At 39.3% G+C, this 20,390-nt stretch overlaps 1 protein-coding gene across 1 annotated transcript in view, besides 1 other annotated feature; it reads left to right on the top strand.

Moving 5' to 3' along the window:
- Nucleotides 1-20,390, top strand: part of TTLL5 (tubulin tyrosine ligase like 5) — a 293,834-nt gene that overhangs the window by 47,118 nt on the left and 226,326 nt on the right. Inside the window, exons 10-12 of the mRNA NM_015072.5 lie at nucleotides 9,498-9,599; nucleotides 11,372-11,463; nucleotides 12,233-12,340. Coding sequence (NP_055887.3) covers nucleotides 9,498-9,599; nucleotides 11,372-11,463; nucleotides 12,233-12,340 — 302 coding nt within the window. The remainder of the gene's footprint in view (nucleotides 1-9,497; nucleotides 9,600-11,371; nucleotides 11,464-12,232; nucleotides 12,341-20,390) is intronic.
- Nucleotides 3,516-3,625: an enhancer, noted in NCBI's record as "active region_8763". NCBI's record gives its function as "activates an Ori minimal core promoter by ATAC-STARR-seq in GM12878 lymphoblastoid cells {active_cell/tissue: GM12878}" and the evidence as "EXISTENCE:reporter gene assay evidence [ECO:0000049][PMID:35858748]".

The following is a 20,390-nucleotide window of genomic DNA, read 5'->3' on the forward strand; positions in this document are numbered from 1 at the left end:
TTTTTTGTTTGTTTTTGAGATGGCGTGATCTCGGCTCACTGCAAGCTCTGCCTCCAGGTTCACGCCATTCTCCTGCCTCAGCCTCCTGAGTAGCTGGGACAACAGGTGCCCCCCACCATGCCTGGCTAATGTTTTGTATTTTTAGTAGAGACGAGGTTTCACTGTGTTAGCCAGGATGGTCTCGATCTCCTGACCTCGTGATCCGCCTGCCTCAGCCTCCCAAAGTGCTGGGATTACAGGTGTGAGCCACCACACCTGGCCTGTTGAGGTGCTTTCTAAGTTTTAAGGTAATGTGACTTACAAGATTAAGTTCAAGTTGTTATATTTTGAAGTTTTGTTTCCTCTAGCCACAGAATTTTACAGGTAATTGTTTTTGTAAACCCTTTAAATTGTTTAAAATAAGTATGTAACTACTATGCTGTGTTCTTCCCCCCAACAAAACTAAATTTTTGTATTAGCCAACTAGTTTGCCCTGAAGTTCTTTTTATGCGTAGTGCCTTTGATATAGAGCAGGGGTGTCCAATCTTTTGGCTTCCCTGGGCCACATTGGAAGAAGAATTGTCTTGGGCCATACCTAAAATACACTAACAATAGCTGATGAGCTTAAAAAAAATTGCAAAAAACTCATAATATTTTGAGAAACTTTATAAATTTGTGTTGGGCCACATTCAAAGCTGTCCTGGGCTGTATGCAGCCTGTGGGCCTCAGGTTGGACAAGCTTGTTATAAAGCATAGCAGTTTAGGAGGTGATTTGCATCTGTGAGTGGTCACGACAAGCTAAAAAAGCCTGGTCTGTGTATGTTTCTGTATTTTAGAAAATGCAATTGGAAGATGGGAAATACCATGGATAAAAGAAGGCTACCTATTTATGTACAGGTGCTTTGACAGATATTATTGTACTCTGACAACTATTATTTTAGAATGGTCTTTTAATGATTTTAGAGACTTAGTTTTTTTCACATGTATCCTATGACTTGAAATCAGTGAGAGCAGACTAACCAAACCTCGCTGGTGGAGCTCTGTGTTCCGTTCGCCTCTAGGTGGCAGTCACAGCATTTATAAGTCCTGTCATATTCTTAACTGAGATTTTGAGTTTGAGCCCTGGGAACATTGGAGACTACCAAAACTCCCTAGTTCTGGCCTCTTCCTTGAAAATTGAGAAAGGGAAGAACTGAAACATCTCGCAGTTATTAGATAAAGGGCTGGACCAGGCATCTGAACATGAGCTGACTACTAGCTCTAATCAGGTTTTTATAGGAAAGAAATTGTCGATAATATTTGTAGACACACGTGCTCTCACGTTTTGAAGTATCACTATACAAAATTAGGTATAAAAGCCTATTCCTGGCCAGGCGTGGTGGCTCACACCTGTAATCCTAGCACTTTGGGAGGCCGAGACGGGAGGATTGCCTGAGGCCAGGAGTTCAAGACCAGTTTGGGCAACATTGTGAGACCCCATCTCATTAAAAAAAAAAAAAAAAAAAAAAAAAAAGACCAAGAAAAAGCCTATTCCCTATATTATTTAAAACAAAATGATGGTAAAATACAGTCCTGACTTCTCAGATATGCAAGGTTCTGAGGATTTTCAGCTTTATAATTTGAGACTTCTGAGCTTTCTCTCTTTTGTGTTATGAGTTTCATCATTCTCCTTCCTCTGCTCATCCTCACCTTCACTTCTCTCCTGTGTCAAGTTTTAGAAACTGATTATGTCCTGCCAAAAATTGGACTTTGGGAATAGAGAAAAGAGATGGAGGTTGTGCTTCACTGTTTCTCAAGGACATCATAGCAATATGTTTTGCTTAATATTCCAAAGATATTTTCACCTACAATATTAACAGCCCTCTCTATGGGTAAAATTTGGCATAATTTTAAGACCTTTCTGGTTCAGAGCACAACATGAGAACAACAGTACCAATGTTTATTATAGAATTTACTACAAATATGCAAGTGCTTTGGCTACTGGTTGTGTGTTGGAAGTCAGAATCTACTGAATTAAGTATAACCCTTTTGCTTCCAGCAGAAACAAAAAAATTTATACACACACACACACACACACACACACACACACACACACAATGGATGTTTTTTCACAGAATAATTAGAAAAACAGCTTTTAAAAAACTCAGACCAAGTAGAACCAGAAAGCCACATGAATTTTCAGGGCTTTGGTTAGGTTTACCTGAAAGTGTAGGTGAATATAAAAGCTTTATCAAAGCTTTACAAAAGCATAACGCATGGCAATATGATGCACTGTTTGCGGGAGTCCTGCGAGGGCACATTGTTCCGTGCAGTAATTTCAATGTGCCTAAGTTCTTGTGTCTTCACTAATTATGTATCTTGACATTCACTTGCTTTGTTGTAACCCTCAGAGTCTGTTCAACTATGTCGATAGTCTGTAGCATCTCCAGATCTGCAGCTTTTAGTTATCTTGGGCCACATGTAATTTATGTAGACATAACTGAAGATCATCAGTTTGGGATGAGATTATTGGGTTACGTTGAGGCTCAACAAGAAAAACCATAATCTTTCCTAAAGAGACGGAACAGGAGGCAAATACAATTCATTTCCTTCTTTAGAAATGAATTCCCTTACACCCTATCACTTCTGTTTTGGACCTCAAATTAATACTAGGCGACAGAAAGATTAAATTCATTTCACAAGACAGTTTTGTGATATAAGTTATTTTGTGTAAAATTTTTTAACACAAAATTAAATTCGTGAAAACCCTAGTTTCTGTATAGATGAGTGTTTTCAGTTGTCCTTATTGTTTTATTAACATAAGAAGTGGGAGAGCTCTCACTGTTTTCTCATGTGTGGGTATAGTATTGAAGAAGTGTTGCAATTGTCCCCCTGGTATTTGGGTGCAGCTTTTTGTGATTCCCACAGTAGCCCTCAGAGGTCCCCTGTGCTTTTGAATTTTACTTGCGTGTTGCTGTTTTGCACCACCAGGGGACACTCAGTTTCCACAGAGGGGTGCTATGCTCTACCAAAATGGTGCAGATTCTTTTTCCTGTCAGGGGTGGACTCCAAAAAGATTTTGTCCTGGATTTTACAGCTTTAGGTGGATCCAGTATTGGGTTTAGATGAGTTGACAGAGCCCTTTCTGAGATGAAGCTAATAGCCAGATTTTCACTGAAACAGGAAAAATAAAAATTTCAAAAAAATTAAAACAAAATGGAGTTAAAAACTAAATATGTTGCCAGAGACCCAAAGATAGGCAGCTCTAGCAACTTGGGGGGCATGCAAGTATCCATCCAGGGAGCTGAGTTCCACCCATGCGGCGGAGGTGGGAAGAGAGGATTCTGGGAAGGTCCCGGTTGGAATGGCCTTTTTTCTGCCTCAGCCATATTATTCAGTGGAAATTCAGAAAAGACCCCAAAACATTTGTAGTGCCTTTCCCTTTCTCCCCACCCCCAGTTCCTTCTTCAGTAGCCTTCCTTGCTAATTAACACTGGCTCTGCAGGGATATTTACCTTTTCTCTGCTGGATTCCTGTGGTTTTGAAAGAATTCAGGTACTTGCTGGTTGCCAAGGAATTCAGATTACCTCACAGGCTGCACACTGTCCAGAATCTGCCACAGCAGCAAGTAGGGGGGAAGAGACACCAACAAGGGGGAGAAAACCCTTTCCAGTGCTCATTGTCACCCTCCCTGGCAGGCCCTTGCTGTTTGTGAAGTTTGAGTCATTTCTGGCTCTAAAGACAAGGGATCAGGCTGGTAATCCCCTCCCAGACGGCTCTGTAGGGCGCTGCCTAGTCACTGCAGCGCTTTGGCAGTCTCCCGGCTGCAGCTGGTTGACAGCAGATCAGAGAGCTCTTGGGCCTCTTGTTCTCTTCCATAAGATTTTTCTGGGTCAGGCCAGGATGAAACCCAGTGGCTCCTGGCAAGGCTGCCTGAGGTGCTGTCTCTTCATTGTCCAGGCCTCTCTGACTCAAAATGCCTACACCTGTTGAAGGATAACTCATGTGCCACAGCGAGGTCGAGGCTGGCCTTCTCTTTTCTTGGTACATTTGTAGTGAATGTTTGTCAGAAAATATAACTACCAAAGAGGATGTTAAGCTTCTACATCTAGAATGCCTGTGACTCTGACCATAAGAAGATATTGGTATCAAAAAAAAGTTTTTAAGAAAACAGCAGGACAAAAAAAAAAAAAAAGAACATGTGGGGTCATATTCTTAGAAGAACAAACTGGTTTTTGAATAGGGGAAGAGAGTTTAAAAGATCCCACTAACTCTCTGCTTTCCTTCTTGTTTTGGTTCCATATTGGTAAAGATCTTGGAGCAAGCAACTCCAGTGCAGTTTCAGTTAATGTTTGCCAAGTCCCTACCATATGCCAAACATTGAAATCTTTTCTCCACACAGACATTCAGACTTTTAGACAAATTATCTTGATTCTCTTGATCAAATTATCTTGATCACTATCTTGATTCTCAGTGAGAAACATTAGAAAGCGAAAAGGAAATGTAACTTGTGATTTAAAAATTTATTGTCAAAATAAAGATATTGTCCAAAACAATTCATATTTGTTTTCATTGTGGTTAAAAAGGGGGGAGGGGGCGGCAAATAGTTCTATATTCATCAATAGGCTGCAAAATAGTACCTAGGGTTTCAAATTTAACAAAGAAAGTAGGAACTCTCCCACCTTTTGTTAGCTTAAAGGTCAAAGCCTTAAAGGTCTGTCGTGAGAACTTTCCTAAATCTTGATCTCATTAAGAGGGAGATACAAGACTGACTCCATCGTGTAAATTTTGGTCTACATTAGGATAAGTGTGGTCATGTAGTCATGTGCTTTATAACAATGGGCAAGGAAGGACCACATATACTATGGTATCCCATAAGATTGTAATGGAGCTGAAAAATTTCTGTCGCCTAGTGACATTGTAACATCATAACACAATGTATTACTTTTTCTATGTTTAGATACACAAATACTTACCATTGTGTTCCAGTTGCCTACAGTATTCAGTATAGTACAATGCTGTACAGGTTTGTAGCCTACAAGCAAGAAGCTGTATTATCTATCCTAGGTGTGTAGTAGGCTATACCATCCAGGTTTGTGTAAATACGCTCTATGATGTTCACACAACGATGAAATTGGCCTATCAATGCATTTCTCAGAGCATATCCCCATTGTTAAGTGACGAATGGTTGTATGTGCAAACTTGGTCCTGGGGTACCTAGTAAATAGTGCTCTTTTAGGTTATTGTTAATAGAGAAATGGTGTTGAAACTTCAGACCTAGAGAAGATGAAATTTGATAATATGTGATGGTCTAAATCAAAGGTCACTAACATAAATGCTCACAAGTACATTCACTGAAGGAAGAGTGGAGACTGGAGAATGGAGAGTACATGTCTCATCTAAAGGCATTTACTATTTAGTGCCAGCAGCTGATACTGGTATTGCCAGATCTGGTTTGTTAAGTGAGGCTTGAACATGTAGATTTTTACTGTGAAACAAAGCACTTTTTTACACTTTTAATTTTGAAACCGTTTTGAACTTATAGAGTTGTCAGAGCTGTAAGAATTATATGAAAAATTACCTTTTACCCTATGTCTAGAGATCTCATTCCAATTCTGCCAATTGTCCTAAGATTTTTTTTTTTTTTAATTACAAAAGGATCCAATCAAGGATCACATGTTGTATTTAGCCGTCGGGTCTCCGTAGTCTCCTTCAGTCTGAAACAGTTCCTTAGTCTTTCTTTGACTTTCATGATCTCAGCATTTTTGAAGATTACAGGCCAGTCATTTTGTGGATTGTCCCTCAGTTTGGGCTTGTCTGATATTTTCTCATGAAGAGACCTAGGTAATGCATTTGGGGCCAGAATACCACAAAAGTGATACTAATTCTTGTCATTGCATTATATGTGATGGCACATGCTAGTCATTTAGTGGTGTTTGACCATTTGCTTTAGGTCATCTGCTAGATTCCTCCACTGTAAAATTATTTGGTCTTACCCTTTGTAATTAGTAAGTATTTTATAAGGAGATACTTTAAATCATGTAAAATTTCATTCTTCATCTCATTTCTCATTTTTAAGAAAAATCTATTGATTTTTCTTGCCTTAATGAATTATTGCTGTAATAGTTGCCAAATGATGATTTTTTAATTCCATCATAACTTTTATTTCTTGGCATTTTTCTGTGAGGAAGAGCTTTATCTTCTCGTTTATTTATTCATCTATTTATTTATACCAATGCAGACTCAAGCGTTCCTGTTTTATTTAATGGGTTATAATTCTTTACTATCATGATTTATTTTGATGCTCAAATTGTCCCAGATTTGGCCAGTGGGAGACCTCTCAAGCTGGCTTTGTGTCCTTTTGACATGTCTTTATCATTCTTTGAGCACAAGATGTTTCAGGCTCATCTTGTTCTTTCTCTATTCTATCCCTGGAATCAACCATTTCTCCAAGGAGCACTGGTTGCTTTTTCTTGGAGTATAATATTTAGAAATCAATATCTGGGTGCTAGATACGCTCATTGTTTTGGGGCATTTCTGCTTTCAGACCCTGGCCATGAGCAGAGTTAGGAAATTATGTATTTATGTACATATACACTTGTACATCTGTATTTCTATATCTGTCTCTAATGTATTGTTGAAAAATAGAAGTTTATACTAGTACGCACAATTCTAGTTCAAAACTACAGAGTTCCTTCTTGTTTTTTGCTTTTCATATTTTAAAATCTCTTTTCCAACAGCAGGAAATCTGGCTCGCAGTATCTTTAACATATTTATTTATTTGCTCAATTCCTTTGTATGTGGCCAGTTTCCTGACCCCACTGGGCCACTGTCCCATTCAGATGCCGTTTTTATATGGATTTATACCCTTATTTGGTGGCCTCCCTGCTTAGAAAACCTCCTTGTGCTTCTGGCTGACTTCCCACCCTACTCACCATCTTCCTTTTTTTTTTTTTTTTTTTTTTGTAACTCACCATCTTCCTCATGTGGGCCCTGGCTACCCCTGGGCTGCAAGAAGGAAGGTCTGATTTTTATATGTTGTTCAGGTAATTAAAGTTTAAAAGAAAAAACAAAGCTTTTGTAGGTTAATCAGAACTTGACCAGTAGGTCACATTCAAGACTAATGTGACCTGTGGTCTAGACAATAAAAAAGAAAATAGTGGTCAGATGATGATGATGGCTTATTTACTATGGATTTTAGTGAGAGCTATAAGCTCTTACTGGGGTAGGAGGAAAGATGAACATGCACACCTTTTCTCTCCATAGTGTATGTTCCCCACTAGACTGAGGGAGATATGGAGTGGAGCACTTTCACCCTTCAGGGGAACTTTTCCTTTAAGCTTTTTTGTTTCACTTTAATTTTTGCTGCTTCTGCTTCATACACTCAGTTTAGAATTCCACGCTTTGATATTAGAAATCTTATCCTTGCTGGGGTTCAGAATAAAATGCTCCAGTGAAAAGGAAGATTAGGAAGAAGAAACATGATTTTTTTTTTTTTTAGATGTGCAGCCCTCTTGAAAAAAAGAATATAGGAATGACAAATGTGTTGGTACCCGATTCCAGCTCACCACAGACTTTTGTCAGGCTTTTCATGTTGACCAAGTTAGATCAAGTACTTGTAGTAACTACAAGAGATGAAAAGCCTCTTTTTCTGAAGCAGAAGCTTTCCCCTCCTTCTAATTCATTGTTCTTTGAGGGGAGAGGATGACAGGAGGGATGTCACCTTGAGGTAATGTCTGGCTGAGGCAGGCAGCCAGCACGGGGCCCCTTTGCATCTCACAAGAATTCAGAGAATGACAGTCTGCAACTTGCTTGGACAATCTATTAGAGGAAGATTGGGATGCATAGGCAAGGGTTACTCACCAGGGCACTGGGGTGTGACATGGCTAGAAGTTAAGTGATAACTACTGGAAGTTGGAAGTTTCTAGAAAATCTGGGGTCCTTCTCAAGCACAGACATAATAATGCTCATCAAACTCTTGTCTTTTAGCCTAGTCATCATTTTCTCTTTGTCCACATCCTTTTTCCTAGCCTCATGTTTGTTTATTTTAGTTTTTTGGGTTTGGGGTTTTTTTTCTTTTCACTATTCTTTCTTTGGCTCTTGTATATTTCTGGTACAGGGAATTAGGGAGTGGAGATAGTGGGTGGATGAGAAGAAACAGAGAAGAGGAAAGTTTTTTAATGCTGACCTTTAATGTGGTGAAAATTCATGTTGACTTCATAGTCTGAGTAAGCATATGTAAATAATTTGTAAGTCATATGAAAATAAACTTGTGGCCTTCTTTTTTTTTTCACACACTTGGATATGCCTCTTGGGAAAACCACTCTAGTGAAGGGTGATATGGTTACAGTGGTATGTAAACAGGGGTTGATATCTACCATAACCATTCGCCTTGAGTGTCCTTTTGTTGATACTGAGCATCCTTTTGTTGATATTGAGCATCACTGGAAAGTTCTCTCTTTCCCTGGTTACTTCCTTCAGAGGCACATGTATTTTATACTTTGGTCTTCTTTTGACAACAGTCCGGGATATCAAATTGCTACCCTGTTTTCAGTGGGCTCCATGTTTAATTCCTCTTTTGCCTTCATTTCAAATTCAGGACTAAGTCTCTTGCACTGTGCCCATATTTATGCCGTTTTGCTTTGTCTGCTGTTAATGCTGTCATTATCATTCTTTTTAAATGAGTATTATGGATCAGTTCTATTCTTTCTATGGATGTCAGCTCTAAGCCTACATATAGCTGTGCTGTCATTTTTTCTTTTTGCTTATTTTTTTTTTCATTGAATGCTATAGTACCAGGCACTGTGTGGGCACTCAGTCGGTGTTTCTGTTGCCTAGGCTGGAGTGTAGTGGTGCGATCACAGCTCACTGCAGCCTCTGTCTCCTGGGCTCAAGCAGTCTTCTCACCTTGGCCTCCCAAGTAGCTGGGACTACAGGTGCACACTACCACGCCTGCTTAATTTTTTAATTTTTTGTAGAGATAGGGTCTTGCAGTGTTGCCTAGGCTGGTCTCAAACTCCTGGGCTCAAGCAATCCTCCTGCCTCGGCCTCCCAAAGTGTTGAGATTAGAGGCATGAGCCACCATGCCCAGCCAGTTGTTATTTCTGGACCAGCTAATGCTGCATCTTTCACAGTATCCTACACACAATTTCCCAGGTTGTAAATAGCTATATTTTCAATTTTCATTCTTCCTATTGGTGTAATGTTCTATATAAGAGAAGCAATGTCTTGTTGTGATTAAGTCCATGGGTTTTGGAGTTGGTGTGATCTTGAACAAGTTATTTAATAGACCACATTTAGTTTTCACATCTGTTTTTCAACTTGGATACGATATTATCTACTTCATAGGGTTGCTTTAAGGATTGAATTAAGTATGACATTATAAAACACTTAGAATGGGAGTTAGCACTTAGTAGGCACTTGGTATTTGTTAGGTAATGATATTACCCTCCTTTATTATTATCTCATTGATCCTCAGTTCCAGCCTGTATTTCCTTGAAACTCTGTTCCTGGCATTTAACCTGTTTCCCTTCTATCAGGTTTGCAACTGTGCGATATGATCAAGGAGCCAAGAACATTCGGAACCAGTTCATGCATCTGACAAACTACAGTGTCAACAAGAAAAGTGGAGATTACGTCAGGTACTGGCTGTGTCTGAGCCAGAAGTCAGAGGTGTCAGTCTCAGATGTGGGTGTTGTAGAGGTGGAAAGGTAACATGTGGCACTGGAGGACAACTTTACATTAATGTCCATGTACCATTTATGGAAATCTGTCAGTCATATAACAGTGTTGAGGCATATCTCCTGCTGCTTCTCCATTGCCTCCCCGGTTAACGGTGTCACCTTTCTCTACCAAAATGTGCCTTCACAAGTTTTTCTTCCTCACTGCCTTCCCTCACTTGACTTAGGAATGGGAATTTAATAGGCATATGGAACGTTTTAGAAGTTAAGAAATGAGGTCATTTCAGCACTTGGCAAACATATCAAAAGCTTAAAAAATGTCTGTACCCTTTGACCCCATGGTTCCATTTCTAGGAACTTAACCTTAAGGAATAAAAGATGTACACACAGGATCAGTGATAAGAATGTTCATTACCATGTATTCGTAGGTGGAAAAAGCAGGTTATCAGATAGCACATGCAACTTAACTTTCTTGCTTGAATATGAGATATCTAAAGCTGCTTATTTTTGCTGAGGGGGGAGGAAAAAAAGACCAGAAGTAGTACCGAAGTGTTAATTTAGCTTAACTATAGTGGGTAGGATTGTGAGTGGGTGATTTTTATTTTCTTCTTTGTGCCATTATGTATTTTCTAAATTTTTCTAAAATAAATACTTGTATGATCAAGAAAAAGAAAAGGAAAAAATCAAAGAAAGAAAGAAATGAGGCCATCTCAGAAAAGGATTCAGTGGAAGGGAGTACTAGCCCAGCTGTGTGGAAATATTCTTTTTGCTCTGTTTTCTTTCATGCCGATATTTTTGCCAGAAAGTGGAAAAGTGGAAAAGAGACCCAAATAGTTACTTTCTACTCAGACTAAAAATAGGTTCCTAGCAGGTCCAAGGAAAGAAAGAAAGGAATCTGGAAGTGATAGAATAGTTGCTGAAGCTATATAGGTTTCAGCAAATATCCTGTGAGCAGCATTTGCATTGACTGAAGAGATCATACCTCCACTGTGAAAGATGAGCAAAGGCACAATTGGTGGAGAGTGGGATGGTGGTAGGGAGTGAGGGGACAGCTGCAAAACACAGGTTCCAGATTGCGGGGCTCTTCCAACATTCGTGGGAGGCTGTGCCATTGGCCACTCCGCTGCCATAGCAATAGTATACCTCCTCACTCTTACTGTCACTCCAGTGCACTCTCCCTTCAGTGTTACCTCAAAAAAATCAGGAAAAGCCATATCTACTGCCAAAGAGGAGGGAACCTGCTTCAGATGCCAAAGCAATTCTGTGTGGGGTTATTTCATTAGCATGCTGCACCAGAATAACTCACTCACCCATTCCAACTCAGTTCTGGTCTGAAAATGGCATCAGAGGTTGTTTTGTGGACTCAGGTGACATTCACCTCAAAGGTTAATTGTCTTTTAACTTGTTGTAACCATTCTTAAATTTGTTTGCCTTCTTTCACACATTGCTTTCACTCTTTCTTGATGCATAATTGTTTGGTTAAGAAAGAATTTGCCGCCTTCTTCCCCACCCTCTTGAAAAAGGCAAACTGTATGCATTTTCATTTCCATTGAAGAAATTGGTATGAAAGGATATATGACAAAAAGGACCAAGAAAAAATGAGTAACTGGAAGTCAGCAAAGTGAATTAAAAAAAAAACTTTTTAAAAAGACAAGAAGGCTATTTGCAAAGAGTCTTGTTATTATAGCCAAGCCTAGTTACATATGTGACTTTGATTTATTAATTTGTTTTAGTTGTGACGATCCAGAAGTGGAGGATTATGGAAACAAATGGAGCATGAGTGCTATGCTTAGGTACCTGAAACAAGAAGGCAGAGATACAACCGGTGAGTACTGGGCCTTTTTCCTTCTTGACTTCTCTTCTTTGGATAACTTTATCATTGTCTCTTGCCAGGAATCATTCTCTGTTGCTTTGATAGTGTTGCTGAGACGGGATGATTGTCCTTGGTGTTACTTTTTCCTGCAGTTGACAAGCTGGGGAACAGGTTTTCCATTACCCTCAAAATCCCTTTTCTTGTTTCGGGTCTGAAAGACATAACTTTTTCCTTTTAATCCTTAGTGAATTTACCCTTCTTGAATGTTGAACTGCTGACTAAAATATGGTCAGCTTTTTATATAACAAATTGCCTGTCTCCATATTGGCCCCAAGTTTCGAGTTTTCTAAGTTAATCTCTCTCATTCATGTTGCTGAGTTGGAGAATGGGCACTGTTTGAGCACAGGGCTTCAAATCAAAATGGACACAATTGCTGAGCCTTGAGCAGAACGGGAAACTGTGTGCCAAAAAAGACTTTTCATTTCACAAGGGAAAGGGTCATAGGGGAAGTGTGAGAAGGGAAGTGAGGCTCCTATTCCATTATGTGTCTGTCTTTTGTCATAAGAGGCCACCTGAGGGTATCCCTTGGCACCTACATTCTTGACTGTATTGATCTGTTCACAGATATGCCTGCCTCTATAGCACCCATTCAGAAGTCTGCCATATAGAGGCTTTTTTGAATGAGCACACATGCTTTTATAGTTATATTGTTATCTGGAATCCAGTTCATAATCCATGTATTTTGATATTGAGTCTGAAATTTAAAAATTTTTGTTTGCAGCATTGATGGCCCATGTAGAAGACCTGATCATTAAGACTATAATCTCTGCTGAACTAGCTATTGCTACTGCCTGTAAAACCTTTGTTCCTCATCGCAGCAGTTGTTTTGGTAAGGAGACTCAAGAAGCTTAACATGTTTTGTGAAGAGGATCTTGGGAAGTTGGACGGGATTTTAGGGTAGAGAGGCTTAGTGATTCTATAGCAGTAAGAGGTATGTGATGGACTCTTCTTTCTAAGCTCATGTAGCATATGAAGAGCCTACTAAGAGGCCAATAGTGAGCTTGGTCAGAAGTCCCCTGAGGAGTAACTAGCTTTCTGTGTGGGAAGCAGGGATTGGAACGAACGTGTTGGTCTTTCTGTCAGAGTGCAGTCAGAAAAAGTCTGCAACGGACTGTACAGGAATCCAGCTCTAACAAATATATTCCAGAGCTCCTTGGCAGCCAGGCTGGGAACAGTTCCAAGAAGCTCTGGCTGGTACCAGTATGTGCTTTCTCCCATTTTCCGATGACTCCTCCTTTTTGTTTGAGTCTTCTTTCTAGTGTGTTCCTCCCCCTCCTCTCTTTCTCCCATTCCTCTTCCACTTTCTTTTCTCTTTCTCTTTCTCTTCCTCTTCTCCTCCCCTTCCACTCCACCCCCAACTCCTTGACTGCACAGAGAAGGAATAAGCAGTTCACAACTACAGAATCAGGAAATGTTACCTACTGACCCCCTAGCTATAATGGTAGCACTGAGGGTGCCTATGGACATTGCTTCCTATGTGGAAATGAATGGGTTTGTGATTGCCCATGTGAATGTGTTTAAAGTCACATAGGCTTTTGGCAGTGTTAGGCTTTGTTAGTAAAATACACTAGGGTCTTTGATGGGGAGGATGATTAAAGTGTGGTGTGGAGTAATACAGGTAGTAAGGATATGAGAGTCGTGCTTTGGTTAGAAGGCAGAGTAACAGGGAAATAAAGAATATGGGTTTTAGAGCCTAACAGCCTTAGTTTGTAACCATGTATATCCATATCTAGTTTTGTGATTTTCAGCAAGTTACTCTAATCCTGTTTCCTCAACTATAAAATGGCAGTAATGGTGGTGTCTACCTCCTGAGAATACCATGAAGATCAAATGAGATGATGCACGCAAAGCACTTGACACAATGTCTGGCCCTTACGTTGTACTCAATAAAAATTATTTGTTATTTTTGTAATTAGACATCATAATTCCTGATCTCTTTAACAGATTATCGTTAACAGGCTATATTTGAGGGTCAGTAAACAAAGGGAATTGTTGAGATTGAATAGAAGATGGTAGATAAATCAGGACCTAAAATTATATGGGAAAAGAAGAGGTTGTAATATATTTTTTAAAATACATATCTGATCATGTCTTCTGAAATCCTTAAATGGTTCCTTAGGCTTAAATTGTATAATAGAAACTTGATATGACCTGAAAGGCTTCTAAGGTAACTCAGGTAACTCTTCTAGAATTCCATTTCCCCTCATATACCTTATAATCCAGCTGTACTATAGTATACTTCTAAGCACTCTGTGCTTTTGTGCCACTGTATGAGTTCTGCTGTTTGGCCTAAAAACTCTCCTTCTGTCTCTGCCTTGCATGCTCCCATTTCTTTTCTAAGATTTAGTTCTCCACATTGCCTCCTCCCTCATGCTGTTCTTTTTTTTTTGAGACAAGGTCTTGCTCTGTTGCCCAGGGTGGAGTACAGTGGCATGATCACCGTTCACTGCAGCCTCCACCTCCTGGGCCCAAGTGATCCTCCCACCTTAGCCTCTCGAGTAGTTGGGACTATAGGCATGTGTCATCATGCCTGGCTAATTGTTTAAAAAACTTTTTGTAGAAATGTGACCTCACTATGCATTATGCTTTTCTGTGCTTGTTTGATCATTCTCTTTTCCTATCACATCATGATGTTTTGTTTATACATACACTCAGCCGTGTCTGAGTTTATTTTCTTGAATTCATAACAGCCAGTGTGTCCTTTCTTCCCATTTCACCCTATTTCTGCCAAACCAGAGCTTTCAACATTTCTCTTGTCCCCTTTTTAAATTTTTTTTTTTAGTTTTGTATTAGAGACAGGGTCTCACTGTTGTCTAGGCTAGAGTGCAATGGCGCAATCGTATTTAGCTCACTGCAGCCTTGAACTCATGGTACCAAGTGATCCTCCTGCCTTGGCTTCCCCAAATACTGGGCTTACAGGCATGAGCTACCATGTAAGCCCTCGCTTGCTACCTCTGCACCTGTTTTACCGTGTGTCTGAAATACCTTTCTTGTGTTACTTTACCTAATAAATTACAGACATTTTTCAAGACAAAGTCAAGTGTCACTTCTTTGGTGATGTTTTTTTCTAATGCTCCCAGAGTTAGCCTGCTCTGCCCTTATACCCCCAGCACTCTGTTTGTAACTCTACAATAGTATCTGTATGTTGTCTGGTAGTCATGTGTATATTTGTCTCCTGTAGCCGACTGGAAACTCCTTGAGGACAGTAAGAATATCTCCGTCAGTTTTGCCCCCACCATGCATGGCAGCACTTTTTTTTAAATTGAGACAGTATCTCACTACGTTACCCAGTCTGGCCTTGAACTCCTGGGCCCAAAGGATCCACCTGCCTCAGCCTCCCGAGTAGCTAGGACTATAGGTGTGTGCCACCATACCCAGTTGCATGTCAGCGTCTTTTGCTCTTAGAGAATGTTCAGGAAATGTTTCTTGAATGAATGATTGGCACTTGCTTTAATTGCTTTTTGGTGGCCTGACAGTAGACTTCCCAATGGATCTGGTTTGGTAATGGCCTAGAACTCTTAGAATTATTGCAGACTGTTTGAAGATGGGGATGAGGGGTTGGGACTAGGAGCGTAACTCCAACTTCCAAAACCTCATTAGATTTAAATAATAAATAAAGGTTTATTTTTCTACATCTACTTGGCTCTTATATGAGGGTAAATTTCTGATATCCCTTGCTGTAAAAATCTTTGTTCTAAATAATTATAAAACCTTTTCTGAATGTTTCCTTTTGTTTGTTTGTTTGTTTGTTTTATAACTTGATTGCCTTTTGGAAGCTTGGGAGCTTCATTATTGAACTTATTGGCAATAGAATGTTCCGACGTGGAAGAAGCTGTGACTTTCTCTGACTCAGTGAAATACCCCTTAAGTCCATTTCATCAGCCATGGGTCTCCTTTCTTCCTCCCTACTTGTGTTCAGTTTTAATAAACTGAGTGCATCTGGAGTTTTTTAAGTTGTTGACTATCTTCTTGGCTTTTGTGGTTCTAATTCCACTTCCTGTCAGCCCTGGGATTTTGTGTGCTTCATTAACCTCATCCCATCAGATATGATTTTGTATACGTGTGTATATTTGTATGAGTCTCTGCCTCCCACTGACTCCTAACTTCCCCTGGGGTTTAAGTCACAAGGAATAAGCTAGTTGTTTTTTTTTTTTTCCATTTATTTTAGAGTAAACAGGAATTGAAAGCTTCCCAGAAGATTTTGGCTCAAACAGAGCATTGGTGCTTTTAGGGGAAACCAACAGACCAGACATGGGGTTCGCTATATTCTTTTGGTGGTTGTTCCTGTCCTTCCATCTTATGGATCTCTGCCAGGGGCATTCCCTTACTATCTCAGTGTTTGTATCCTATGATTTCTTTCCCATCCTACCACCTGTAATGTTCAACTATGTTTCCAGGTATCTTCAATATCCCATCCTATTTATTTATACATTTAATTTTTCTTCAGTTCCTGCTGTGGGCAAGTCATAGGTTAGCCTTTCGGCAGTGTATTACCATCAAGTTTGTTCCTCTCAAACCAAATTTTATGTAGGATGAGATACAGATATAGATATATATATACCTCCATTGCACTATTAGTGTTTAAATGTAGACTTGAGAACCTATACAAACTACCCGAAACTTTGTCATTTAATGCTTTTTCCTAGATTTGCACATCTGGCAAGGACCTTAGAGAATAATTAGTTCAGATATAGAAATTGAAACCCTGAGAAATGAACTCTATGTTCCAGGTTCTAGAGTTAGTGAGTGAAATAACTCAGGTCAAAATGACTCAGCTTGTATCTATGGGGCTTCAGAAGATGGGTTTTGGCAATCAGATAATCTTGATCATAAGACTTTTGATTTATAGAATTTTTTATGCCTCCCTCAATAAGACAGATTTTTTACAATCTAATTTTTACTGCCTTCCAAGATCGTGAAAATATGGTACCATGTGAAATAATATGCTTAAACAGCAATCCTTTAAATATGCTTAGGAAATTGGCATTGTGAGATACAACTGGCTATGAGAATAGCTTTTGGATCAGTTGAAGAAAAACAGCCAAAAACAACAGGATGTTCGCTGCTCTTTAAAGATGTTGCTGCTGACAGTGGGTTTATCTCTGTGTATTAGCATGGCTGAAGTCATGGGTTGTGACCCAGGCCTGGGATCATGGGGACAAGTTGTGGAGCCACTTGTAGAACTGATCAGCCTGGACTTGTTCTGATCAGAGCCCAGTGACGTGTTTGCTCCGCACCAGCCATGCCCAGTACACCTCTGTGTTGACGATACCTGGTTTGGTTTTCTGTTGCTGCCATTCTTGACCATTTCACAGGGTAACCTGAGGTTCTTATAGGGAGGATGTCCATAAATAATTGTTGGAGGAATGAAAGCAGGCAGTGTACATTCTCCAACAATGTAAACTACTTGGCCACCCACAGAAAAATAATGAGAGTCATCAATCTCTTCACTTTTTGAGATAATCTCCTTTTTTGGTTTATCATATGCTCCTGTTTAGATGGGAAAGGAAGTTTACTACAGAAGAAACTTATGTAGGAAGTATCTACTGTTTATCAAGCAAACATTGGTTATTTCCTTTAATTTGGTTTCACTGGTTATTTCTTTTTAGTCTTCGACAATTTTGGTTGGTATTATCTGTGTTTTATAGACATGGAAAAAAGATTCAGAAAGGTTAAATAAGTTGTCCTAGGTCATGCAGCTAATAAATGGCAAAGCCAAATTTGGGAGCCAGTTCTCTCTGGCTCTTTCTCCACCCACATAAAGACATGTCCTTATGAGTCCGGCCACTTTTGGCATGCCCCATATCCTGGATTCTCCCTCTGCTCTCCCGTAACTAGATACTCAGGAAAAATGATATCATCCTTTCTAGCAGATCAGGCCTGAAAAGGACACTCCTTTTGCTCTAGTTAAGCATACCCAGTCCTAAATACTCCTTTCAAATCTACCTTTACATCTGGTAACCAGATAGCATATTGATTTCTTGGACTAGTTAACCAATTGGCTGTGGGCATTTTCTTTTCATTTTCTTGTGGGTCTGCTTTTTTCCAAAATTCTCCTTCTGGACCCCATATAAAGACTTCCTCTTTAGCTTTTTCAATTTGAATCCAAAGCCAAGGTAAAAAGAATTTCCTTCATACAATAGCATTTCAGTGACAGTGAGTTCTGGCTAATGTCAGCACTTTCCATTGCCTCAGGGACCACAGCTTCAGCTGGGACTTTATTTCTGGGGAGAGTTAGTGGATTGATCCAAAATTAGTGGTGTGACATGTTTAGTAATCTATTAGGCCTTGGATGGATTATTATTTTCTTGAGAAAATCTTTATTTCCTCCTCTCTCCCTAAACTAACTTTTATCAGGTTTTTTCTTAATACAGCTTTAATATGTAAAGTTTCCTAAGAATCTCTCTTATTTTCTTTATGATTGGTGGCTTTATTATAAATATTTCAAGTGTTGTGATCAGGGTTATTTTGTAGGAAGTGGCTGCCAATTATTTTGTCTTTCTCAAAAACTATGCATTGTTTTTCACTTAAAATATATTTTTTTCATTCAGTATTTCTGAAGTATTTCCTATGTGCTAGTTATGGTGCAGGCTACTTGTAATACAACAATGAATGAAACATGGACCCTGCCCTCAAGTGATAGGGAGGAGCAGACATGAAATGATAAATGACATTACAAGTAGTATAAGTGACTCAGGTGCTCTAGGAATATATAAGATTTACTAGCTGTGCCTAGGGGATCCACAGAAAGCCATTTTTAACAGCAAGAATGTAGTATGCAACATACAGTGTCATGACAGGATGTGATATTTTTTGAAATGGTAAGAAGTATGACTAAATATAGCGTGCATAGAATGGGGGAATAGAAGATAGGGTTATGGAGGTGGATTTGGGCCAGAATATAAAGAATTGACAAGTTTAAATTCATCTTGTAGCTAACAGACAGCCACTGGAAGTTTTTGAGCAGGGGAGCGATAGGATTATTATTATTTTTCTTTAACTTTTATCATAATTTAATCCAAAGCTTAGGATGACAGAATTACAATAAAGGGAATACAGTACAATATTACTAGCAATGACTGACTTAAAATCTTCTAGGAACCAAGCTGACATTAGTTTCTGTTGTTGGACCAATTCACTGCCTACCTCTATGTGACTGCTAAGTTTGTTTTTCTAAGAAAAGTATAATTCTCATGGCCTTGAAGAATGGACTACAATTGAGAGAGGCAAGTGCTAGGGAAATGACTAAGGTGGTAAGAGGTGTGCAGTGATAATATATACTTACCATATGACCCAGTAGTCCCACTCATAGGTATTTTCCCAGAAGAACCGAAACCATATGTTTATACGAATATCTGTATACAAATGTTTATAGCAGCTTTATTAATAATTGCCAAAAATTGGAAACAATCCAAATGTCCATCAACTGTTGAATGGGTAAATAAATTGTGGTATGTCCATATAATGGAATACTACTCAGCTAGAGAAAGGAACGAACTATATTATTGGTATGTATAACAACATAGATAAATCTCAAAAGCACAATGCTAAGTGAAAGAAGCCAGTTTCAAGAAACTACATATTACATTAATTTCATTTATTTGACTTTCTGGAAAAGGCAGGAAGCAGACAAAAATGAGATCAGTGGTTGCTGAGGGTGGGAGTGCGACTGGAGAGGGGCACAAGGGAATGTTTGTTAAAATTGTCCTATGTCTTGTGGTGGTGTTAGACAACTGCATATATTTGTCAAAACTCACCAAAATGTATACTTTAAAAGGGTGAATTTATTGTATGTAAATTAGACTTTGATAAATCTGCCTGAAAACAAAAAGCAATGATAGATGGATGAACCTCAGAAACATGGTAGATGAAAGAAACCAGACTCAAAAGAGTATATACCATATGATTCCATTTATGTGAAATTCTAGAATAAGCAAAACTAATCTGTGATGAAAGAAATAAGACTAGTCGTTGTCAGGGATGGGGGAAAGGGCAGGATACTTACTAGGAAGCAGCACAAGGAGTCCTTTTGGGGTGATGGAAACATTCTATGTGGGCTGACAGGCATGTGGGTTACATGGATATGTCCAATTATCAAGACTTGTCAAGTTGTACACTTAGATCTAACTATTTCATCATATGTAAATTATACCTCAAAAGGGAATAGAGAAGATTAAAGAGATTAAAGAGGAAGAAACTGGCTGGGCACAGTGGCTCACGCCTGTAATCCCAGCACTTTGGGAGGCCAAGGAGGGTGGATCACTTGAGGTCAGGAGTTTGAGACCAGCCTGGCCAACATGGTAAAACCCCATCTCTACTAAAAATACAAAAGTTAGCCAGGCATGGTGGCAGGTGCCTGTAATCCTAGCTACTTGGGAGGCTGAGGCAGGAGAATTGCTTGAACCTGGGAGGTGGAGATTGCAGCGAGCCGATATTACACCATTGCACTCTAGCCTGGGAGACAAGAGCAAAACTCCATCTCAGAAAAAAAAAAAAAAAAGAGAGAAAAAGAGACTAAAGAGAAAGATTAAAGACAAGAAAGAGAGATAGAGATTTGGTGATATCTTGTATTTGGGAGGTGGTAAGAGAGTGTTTCTAGTTTGGAGCCTGGTGGATGGGGTTACCATTCTCCAAGATGAAGAATAATAGCAAACCAAACAGTTTTGGGGAAAGAAAACAAGGGCTATTTTGTTGAGTGTTGAATACCTGTGGAATATCCTAGTGAAGATGTCCAAAAGGCAATTTGAATTATGGATTTGGTGTCCAGGAGACACTTGGCTAAAGATGTGATTTGAATATTATCATCATCATCATCATCGTCATATTAATTGTGGCCATGAGAATACCTGAGATTGCCTAAGGAGAAAACTAGAATTGAG

This window comes from Homo sapiens, chromosome 14 (genome assembly GCF_000001405.40).
Source record: "Homo sapiens chromosome 14, GRCh38.p14 Primary Assembly".
In the NCBI taxonomy this organism is placed as follows: domain Eukaryota; kingdom Metazoa; phylum Chordata; class Mammalia; order Primates; family Hominidae; genus Homo; species Homo sapiens.